A 10,676-nucleotide genomic window follows, 5' to 3' on the forward strand; every position below is an offset into this window, starting at 1 on the left:
AATAAGTGATTAATTGCAGTCCCTGAAAGAGAGAGGAAAGAGAGGAGCAGTATTTCAGGAGACAAAGCTCAAGAATTTTCTAAAACTGATAAAAGGCATCGACCTCTCAGATGCCAGAAGTTCAGCCAACCCCAAGAAGAACAAAAGACCATTATCGCTCAGAAATATTAGAAGCAGTTTCAATTTAGATATTTGCTGAAGACAATTCTTAAGTTGAAACTAAGGAAGAACTCTTGATTGAGAGGCAGGTTTGATAGGTCTAAGCAGTTCTACAGCACTAGACAGTGGCATGAGTCACGGTGGTATGGGCTTGAAATGTCCACATAGAAAAGAGTGTGAAAATTGCTGGGCGCGGTGGCTCACGCCTGTAATCCCAGCACATTGGGAGGCCGAGGCGGGCGGATCACGAGGTCAGGAGATCGAGACCATCCTGGCTAACACAGTGAAACCCCGTCTCTACTAAAAATACAAAAAATTAGCTGGGCGTGGTGGCGGGCGCCTGTAGTCCTAGCTACTCGGGAGGCTGAGGCAGGAGAATGGAGTGAACCTGGGAGGTGTAGGTTGCAGTGAGCTGAGATCTCGCCACTGCACTCCAGCCTGGGTGACAGAGCGAGATTCCGTCTAAAAAAATAAAATAAAATAAATAAATAAATAAAAAGAAGACAGTGTGAAAATTATATAATAAACAGAACCCACACTCAAATCAGCCCTTTAGTGCCAGAAAAAAAAGAGGGATTCAAAAGATAAATGGAAATTAATGGATTTTGATTATCCTGGTGGGAAATCAAAACCAATAATTTCACTAAACCATAGTAACTGGAAACTGAACCTGCCAACCTGTAACTTTCTAAATTTAGTAATGAAGTACCAAGATTTCAAGTGTCGCTCTCTGAGAGAGGAGACCTGTTATTAAGTGATTTCCAACCCCCATTTGCCACATATTAAACACAGTATGATTAACCTCTTCACAGTAAACATTTATCTCAATTGACTTTACGGTTATAGGTCACAGGCTCAGATAATTGGCATATAATGTTTGTCAAACCAGATAGGCTAACACTAAAAGGTTCCCTCTTCTTTGTCTACTTGAGTTTCTGCTATGAGTTTGGAAGCAACTATGAATCTGAATTGTTCCAAATATTGCACTGGGTTCTGATAATATCATTTTGTTTGGTTAGCTCTAAGACTTTGAAATTGACATTTTAAAAAGTAGACTTTATTTTTTTAAAGCAGTTTTAGGTTCAGGACAAAATTGAACAGATGATAGAGGTTTCATACATACATCTTGCCCCCGAGACACAAACAGCCTCCCCCGCATCAAAATCCAGAGTGTACATTTATACAATCAATGAACCTACATTGACACACATTATCATCCAAGGTCCATAGTTTACATTCAGGTTCACTCTTGGTGTTGTACATTCTATGGATTTTGACAAATATAAAATGGTATGTATCCACAGTTATAGTAACAAATAGAGTAGTTTCATGGCCATGTAAATCCTCCATGTGCCACATGTTCATCCCTCCCTCTTTCCAACCCCTGACAACCACTGATCCTTTTACTGTTTCCACTGTTTTGCCAATTCCATAGTGTCATATAGTCAGAATGATACCATATGCAACCTTTTCAGATGGGCTTCTTTCACTTAGTAATATGCATTTAAGGTACCTCCATGTCTTTGCATGGCTTGATAGCTCATTTCTTATTAGCACTTTATAATATTCCATTGTGTAGATGTGTCACAGTTTGTTTTTCCATTTACCTGCTAAAAGACATTTTGGTTGCTTCCAAATTTTGGTCATCATGAAAAAAGCTGCCATAAACATTCATGTGCAGGGTTTTGTGTGAATGTAAAATTTCAACTCTGGGGAAATACCAGGAAGCCCCAGTTGCTGGATGGTAAAGTAAGAGTATGTTTAGTTTGTAAGAAATACTCGTCTTCCAGTGTGGCTACCATTTTTGCATTCCCCACCAATAATGAATAAGAATTTCGACTGCTCTGCATTCTTGCCAGCATTTGGTGTTGGTGTTGGCCTTTCTAATAGGTATGTGGTAGTACATTATTATCGTTTTTATTTGCAATTCCCCAATGATGTATGATGTTGAGTATTTTTTCATATGCTTATTTGTCATTTGTATATTTTCTTTTGCAAAATGTCTTTTGGCTATATTTATGTGGGTCTCTTTCTGCACTCTCTACTCTGTTCCATTGATCTATATTTCTATTATTTTGCCAATGTCACACTGTCTTGTTTACTCACATAGTGTCCTCCAACTTTGTTCTTCTACTTCAATATTGTGTTGGCTATTCTGAGTATTTGCTTCTGCATATAAACTTTAGAATCAGTTTATAAAAATCCACAAAATAATTTGCTGGGATTTTTATTAGAATTGCATTGAATATATGGGTCAAGTTGGGAAGAATCGACATCTTGACAATACTGTCTTCTTATCCATGAATATGGAAGAGCTCTCCATTTATTTTGTTTATTTATTTGTTTATTTTGAGACAGGGTCTGACTCTGTTACCCAGGTTGGAGTGAAGTGGCACCATCTCGGCCCACTGCAAACCTCCACCTCCTGGGTTCAAGCGATTCTCGTGCCTCAGCTTCCTGAGTAGCTTGGATTACAGGCACCCGCCACCACCCCCAGCTAATTTTTGTATTTTTAGTAGAGACAGGGTTTCACCATGTTGGCCGGGCTGGTCTCAAACTCCTGACCTCAAGTGATCCGCCTGCCTTGGCCACCCAAAGTGCTGGGATTACAGGTGTGAGTCACCGTCCCCAGCCAGTTCTCCATGTATTTAGCTTGTTTTTTATTCTTTCATCTGTTTTTTTAGTATAGTCACAGAATTGTGCAATCATTATCACTGTGTCATTTCAGAACATTTTTATCACCCTCAAAACAAACTCCATACTCACTTACCCTTTCCATTTCTACCACCGGCTGTTCCTCTCCCCAGCCCCTGGCAACCACTAATCTTTTTATATTTATAAATTTACCTATTCTGGACACTTCATATAGATGGAATCATCTAACATGTAGCACATTATGTCTGGCTTCTTTCAGTTAGTATGGTGTTTTGAGGTCCATCCACTTTACAGCGAATGCCAATATTTCACTCACTTTTTTATTGCTGAAAATATATTATATTGTAAGGAAATATCACATTTAATGTACCTATTTGTCAGTTGATAGACACTTAGGTGGTTTTTGTTTGTTTGTTTTTTGCTATAGTGAATAATGCTGCTGTGAACGCTCATGTACATGTTTTTCTTTGGACATATGTTTTCAATTACTTTGGGTACATACCTACGAGTGGAGTTGCTGGGTTATATGGCAACTCTGTTTAACTTTTTTTAAACTGCCAAAGTGTTTTTACAAATGGCCTCATAATGTTTACATTCCCACCAGTAACTCAATGTTTTTCCACATTCTAACCATTTGTTAGTATGTGTCTTCTTTATTATAGCCATCCTAGTGGGTGTGAAGTGACATTTCACTGTGGTTTTGGTTTGTATTTCCCTAGCTAATAATGTTGAGCATCTTGTCTTGTATTTAGTATTTATTTGTATATCTTCATTGGAGAAACATTTTTTCAAATTTGTTGCCTATTTTTCAATTGGGTTGTTTGTTCTTATTTTATTACTGAGTTGTAAGGGGTGTGTGTGTGTGTGTGTGTGTGTGTGTGTGTGTGTGTGTGTGTGTGTGTGTTCTGGATGCAATTCCTTTACCTGATATGATTTGCAAGTATTTTGTCCCACTTTGAGGGTTGTCCTCTCACTTTCTTGTGCTTTTTGAAGAAAATAAGTTTTAAATTTTGGTGAAGTCTTTTTATCTATTTTTTTCTTTTGCAGCTTGTACTTTTGGTGTCATAGCTAGGAAACCATGCTGGATCAAAGGTCACAAAGATTTATTCCTGTGTTTCATTCAAAGAGATATATAGTTTTAGCTCATAGGTTGACAATCCATTTTGAGATAATTTTTATATATAGTGTGATGTAAGAGCCCATCATCATTTTGCATGTGAATATCCAGTTGTCACACATCATTTGTTGAAAATACTCTCCTTTCCTTATTTTTTTTTAATTAGACCATATATGCATGTGTTTATTTTTGGGACTCTCAATTATATTCCATTGACCTGTATGTCTATTCTGATTTCAATACCACACTGTCTTAATTATGTTGCTTGTTATTAAGTTTTGAAATCAGAAGTATGAGTCCTTCTCACACCTTTTTCCTTCTTTTAAAGATGGTTTTAATTATTCTGGGTCCTTTGCTTTTCTACCTGAATTTTAAGAGCAGCTTGTCAATTTCTGCCACACACAAAAAAAAAAAAAAAAAAAAAGAGAGAGAGAGAGAGATCCTGCTGGGATTTTGATAGAGATTGCAACAAATCTATAGATCAATTTGGGATTACTGCCATCTTAACTCTGTTAAGTCTTCCAATCCATGAATGTGGAACATGAACATGGAATTCCTTTCCATTTATTTAGGTCTTTTAATATTTCCTTCAACAACATTTTGTGGTTTTTAGTGTACACTTTTTTTGTTAGATTTATTCCTAAACATTTCATTTATTTACTCATTTTAAATTTCAACTTTTAGATACAGAGGGTACATGTACAGCTTTGTTACATATCCATGGAGGTTTTTCTACCCATGTTCCCTCCCTCGGTCCCCTCTCTAGTAGTCCACAGTGTCTATTGTTCCTATGTTTATGTTCATGTGTGCTCAGTGGTTAGCTCCCACTTATAAATGAGAACATGTGGTATTTGGTTGTCTTTTTCTGCATTAATTTGCTAAGGATTTTGGCCTCCAACTCTATCCATGTTGCTGTAAAGGACATTATTTCACTTTTTATGGCTGTATAGTATTCTACAGTGTATATGTACCACATTTTCTTTATCCAATTCACCCTTGATGTGCACCTAGGTTGATTCCATGTATTTGCTATTGTAAATTGTGCAGTGATGAACATATAAATGCATGTGTCTTTTGGTATAATGATTTATTGTCCTCTGGATATGTACCCAATCATGGGATTGCTGCATCAAATGGTCGCTTTAAGTTATTTGAGAAATCTCCAAACTACTTTTCACAGCGGCTGAACAAATTTACATTCCGAAAAACAGTGTGTAAGTGTTCCCTATTCCCTGCAGCCACATCAGCATCTGTTGTTTTTTGACTTTTTAATGATAGCCATTTTTGACTTTTTAATAATAGCCATTCTAACTGGTGTGGGGTAATATCTCATTGTAGTTTTGATTTGTATTTCTCTGATAATTAGTGTTGTGGAGCATTTTTTCATATGTTGGTTGGTCACTTATATGTCTTCTTTAAAAAAAGTGTCTGTTCATATCCCTTGACCATTTTTAAGGGGATTATTTGTTTTTGCTTATTGACTGAAGTTCCTTATAAATTCTAGGTATTAGATCTTTGTTGGATGCATAGTTAGTGAATATTTTCTCCCATCCGGTAGGTTATCTATTTACCCTGTTGATTGTTTATTTTGCTATGCAGAAGGTCTTTAGTTTAATTAGGTCCCATTTGTCAATTTTTGGTTTTGTTGCAATTGCTTTTGGGCACTTATCCAAAAACTTTTTGCCAAGGCTGATGTTGGTAAAAGTATCTTCTAGGTTTTCTTCTAAGATTTTTATATTTTGAGGTCTTACATTTAAATTTTTAATTATCTTGAGTTAATTTTTGTATACAGTGAAAGGTAAGGGTCTAGTTTCATTCTTCTGTATATGGCTAGCCAGTTATCCCAGCACAATTTATTGAATAGGGAGTCCTTTCCCCATTGCTTGTTTTTGTCAGCTTTGTTGAAGATCAGATGGTGTAGATGTGCAGCTTTATTTTGATGCCTTGTAAATGGAATTGTGCTCTCAGTTTCATTTTTGGATTGTTCATTTCTGGTGCATAGAACTGCAAATTTTTTTGTATATTGATCTTGTACCCTACAATTTGGTGAATTCATTTATTAATTCTTAAATTTTTGTGTGGATTCCTTAGAATTTTCTATATACAAGATAAAGTCATCTACAAATAGAAATAGTGTTACTTATTCCTTTCCAGCTGGGGTGCTTTTATTTCTTTTTCTTGCCTAATTGCCCTCATTAGAACATCAGGTACTATGTTGACTAGAAGTGGTGAGAGCGGACATACTTGTTTTATTCCTCATCTTACAGGAAATGTTTTCAAGTCTTTCCCCTTTAAGTATGGGGTTAGCTGTGGGTTTTTCATAGATACCCTTTATCAGGTTGAAGAAGTTCTCTTCTTTCCTAGTTTGTTCATTGTTTTTTAACAAGATAAGATGCTAGATTTTCTCAAATGCTTTTTCTGCATTTATTGAGATGATCATATGGAGTTTGTCCTTTGTCCTTTGTAATATGGTGCATTACATTTATTGTTTCATATGTTGAATCAACCTTGCATTCCTAGGATAAATGCCACTTTGTCATGATGTATAATCTTTTTCATATGTTGCCAAATAAAGTTTGTTGAGAACTTTTACATCTATATTTATAAAGGTATACTGGCCTGTCATTTTCCTTTCTTGAAGTCTTAGTTTTGGTGCCAGGGTAATACTGGCCTCATAGAATGAGATGGGAAGTGTTCTTCTTCTCCTTTTTTTCAGGGGGTGAAGAGTCTGTGTCCTATAAACATATTCGGCAGAAGTCACAGATTAAGCTATCTGAACCTGGGCTCCTCTTTGTGGAACATTAAAAAAAATTATTACTACTAATTGAATTGCTTTACTTGTTATAGGGTATTCAGATTTTCTATTGCTTCCTGAATCAGTTTGGGTAGCTTGTTTCTTTCTTGAAATTTGTTCATTTCATCTAGTTTATCTAATTTCCTGGCATATAACTTCTCATAATATTCCTCTATAATATTTTGTATTCCACAGGTTGGTAATAATGTCCCCTCTTTCATTTCTGATTTGATCCATGTGTTTTAAGGAAAAGTTTGTGTCCCCACGAGTATCCCTCCATAAAAAACAAAACCTCCAGAAAATTCTGTCTGAGACTAATTTCAACAGTTACAACGTTACAACAAAGACAAATTTAAAACAAAATGCCTCTGGTGTAATTTGTGGTAAATGATAGCTTGTGTTCAGACTAGACTTGATCATCACTGCTCAAAAAATGTCCTTTAAAAATTATGCAAATTTTGATACATCACCCATCATCCATTACTTCTATTTTCCAAAGTCTTGAAGTATTTTAGAAGTTCAATTAAGGCTTATCTCGTATCAGTATTTTCAAGTTTTCTCAGCAGCAATTCATAGAGCATATTGAACGAAATTAAGCAGCCACACAAAACCTGTCCAAAATCCAAACACAAGTGTAGCAATTTTAGATAAGGTTTTGTCATTTGTGGCAAATAAAATGATAAATACCAATAAAAATGCACATCCTATCCCACAAGTAATATAAAAATCTAGTATTTCTTTTGGTGTGGCAACTGCAATAAACTGGAGTACACAAACACAGTCAGAATAAGGAAATTCATAAGAAAGGCACTGTGTCACATGAAATTCACATAAGTGAGGTCCTCCACAAAAAGTGTATTACAGGGACAAACCCTTTTCCCAGCTAAAGGCTGGGAGAGAGAGAACAGCTGGAAGTCTCTGAGATCACCACCGCCACTGGAGCTGGCCAAGGGACACAAAGGTACTAAGATCATTTCTGCTCTCTGGTAGGAGGTGGGTCCTCCTTTGTGTTGGACTGCACCCTGTTCCCTTCTTCACTGAGAATCTGAGAAGTCTTGTGGTGATAGCTGAACACTTAAGATGCCAGCCTCAGAGTAGGTCATTCTGGTTTGCCCTATGCCATGTGGTAAGAAGCCAGTCAGCCTGCCCATTTGAGAAAGGCCTGCTGTTTCTGGAGTGAAGTCTGCCTAATTCTGGAGTGAAATATTAGCAGGACCTTTGCATCATCACAGATCTAAATGCAAGTTCTCCACTTAGTTTGATCAGTAATAAAAGTACTGTAGCATTATTAATTCTCTGTTTGACTTCTCTATTTCCCAATTTGATCTGAACTTAAAAGAGGAAGAAAGGATTATGTCTTGAGCTCCTAAAACTTCAACTCAAAGCTTTCATTGTAATATTCTCAAGAAGTGACAGTCTGCATAAATAGCAGATTTTTTAAAAAGGAAATTCCTCCTAGAACTTTGAAATTTTGGTTATTATCTGCCCGAGAGCTTGGAGGTAGACCTCCGTAGAGAAATGGCACACAGAGTTTGGGGCCTGACTTCAGATTTCCAGAACCAGAGGATCATGCTCCCTAATAAAAAACAAAGAAAAAGGTCTCATATCAGGTAGTGATGGAGTAAGAGGATGGGCCAGGGATTAGGGGAAGAACCAAGAGGGACTGATTAACAAAAATTACATCTTTGGAAGCTAGAGAATTCACCACAAGCAAACAACAACAGCAAGTTAGATTATGACCCACTTTGTCACCTTTAATGTCGTATTAGATTTAATTCTTTGGCAGGTAGAGCTGAATGAATTTGCCTAAACTTTTTTCCCAGGAACGATAGCAAAGACTAGTAATAACTGAAAGATCTGGCCAGGTATGGTGGGTCACACCTGTAATCCCAGCACTTTGGGAGGCTGAGGCAGGTGGATCACTTGAGCCCAGGAGTTCAAGATCAGCCTGGGCAACATGGTGAGACCTCATCTCTACAAAAAAAAAAAAAAAAAAAAAAAACAAAAATTAGCCGGATGTGGGGATGTGTGCCTGTGGTCCCAGCTACTGGGGAGGCTGAGGTGGGAGGATCACTTGAGCCCAGGAAGTCAAGGCTGCAGTGGGCCAAGATTATGCCACTGTACTCCAGCCTGGGTGACAGGGAGACCCCATCATAAAAAATTGAAAATAAAATAAAATACTACTAATATTAATAATGAAAACTGAAAGATCCTTAAGATTGTAAAGAAAAGTCAGTCTGAGACGGAAATTTTCACTAATTGCTGAAACACTGAACCACCACTATGAGTAGAGGAGAGATGGTCCAATAAAAGGAGCAGGAGCTGGAGGACTATTAGAGGAGGAAGCCAAGCTACAGCAAAGCTGTTGAGACAGCAGGTAAGATGAGGAAACTATAATGGCCGCTAGGAAAAAACAAATCCATTTAGACTCCACAGAAAGATAATAAAGCTGCCGGTCTGAAGGACAATCTCGTTGTATATTCAGAGTTAAAAAAGTCACCATCCAAAGCTTTTATTGTTGCAGATTGAGAGGTGGGAATGCAATGCGGGTGGAGGTGGGTTGGGGATAATGGAAGAGAGACAGAGCCAGCTAGAATGTAACTGTCAGAGGCATTCAAATCAGAATGACTCCATCTTGAATACGGGCTGGGTAAAATGAGGCTGAGATCTATGGGGCTGCATTCCTAGGAGGTTAGGCATTCTCAGTCACAGGATGAGATGAGAGGTTGGCAGGACTGGTATCACAAGATAAAGGTCATAAAGACCCTGATGATAAAACAGGATGTGGTAAAGAAGCTGGCCAAAACCCACCAAAACCAATATGGCGATGAATATGACCTCTGGCTGTCCTCACTGCTCACTGTATGCTAATTACAATGCATCAGCATGCTAAAAGACACTCCCACCAGCACCATGACAGTTTACAAATGCCATGGCAATGTCAGGAAGTTACCCTATACGGTCTAAAAGAGGGAAATCCCTGCCTCTTTCCCAGAAAACTCATGAATAATCCACCACTTATTTGGCATATAATCAAGAAATAATCATAAAAATAGCCAACCATCAACTCTTGGTGCTGCTTTGTCTATGGAGTAGCCATTCTTTTGTTTCTTTACTTCTCTAGTAAACTTGCTTTCACTTTACTGTATGGACTTGCCCCCAGTTCTTTCTTGCAGGAGATTCAAGAACCCTCTCTTGGGGTCTGGATAGGGACCCATTTCCAGTAACATATATCATGTTCCTTTTGTTAACCTCTGTATAATTCAGTGCCTGATATTCCTAGCCCATAGTAGTTGAACAATAAATATTTGTTGAATAACTAATTGGAAGAATGAAAGAAATGGGGGTTGGACATGTTTTCACTAAGTACAATACCAACTGTGAATCGTGCTGTATACAACCAATGAGTATCATCTCAACCCATGAGACATGCCATTCATTCAGTCATTTAGTCCATAAACAGTAATTGAGCATTTGCTAGGTTCCAGGTACAGGATACTAGACCCTTGGGAATAACTAACTAGTTTTTCTGTCCTGAAAGAGTTTGGAGATTAGTAGTAGAAGAAATATGTTTTTTAAAAAAATTAAGTTCCATACAATATTTTAGGTGCTATCAAAACTACCCCAATTTTATATGTAAAATGTTTATTTAGAAACAGAATGCTTGTTAATCGGTACTGCAAGGAAAAATTAGCATTCAGACAAAAAGTTTTCTCAGCAAGATAATTTTACTTTCTGCAGAAAGAGTGCTCCTCGCAGATGGAACAATGGCGAGAGCACACCTGAACAATGGAGGGAAGAAATTTTTATCCCTTACGCAGCTTGTCCTTGCTGCTGTGTCCTGTCTCCGTTGGCTGGAGCCAGACTGCACAATCTAAACTAAAACCTGACTGGCTAATAATTTAAAACTTTTCTAAATAGGTAAAAGCAATGGAAAGACAAAGGAAAAGA

Source organism: Homo sapiens, chromosome 1, assembly GCF_000001405.40.
Source record: "Homo sapiens chromosome 1, GRCh38.p14 Primary Assembly".
NCBI lineage: Eukaryota > Metazoa > Chordata > Mammalia > Primates > Hominidae > Homo > Homo sapiens.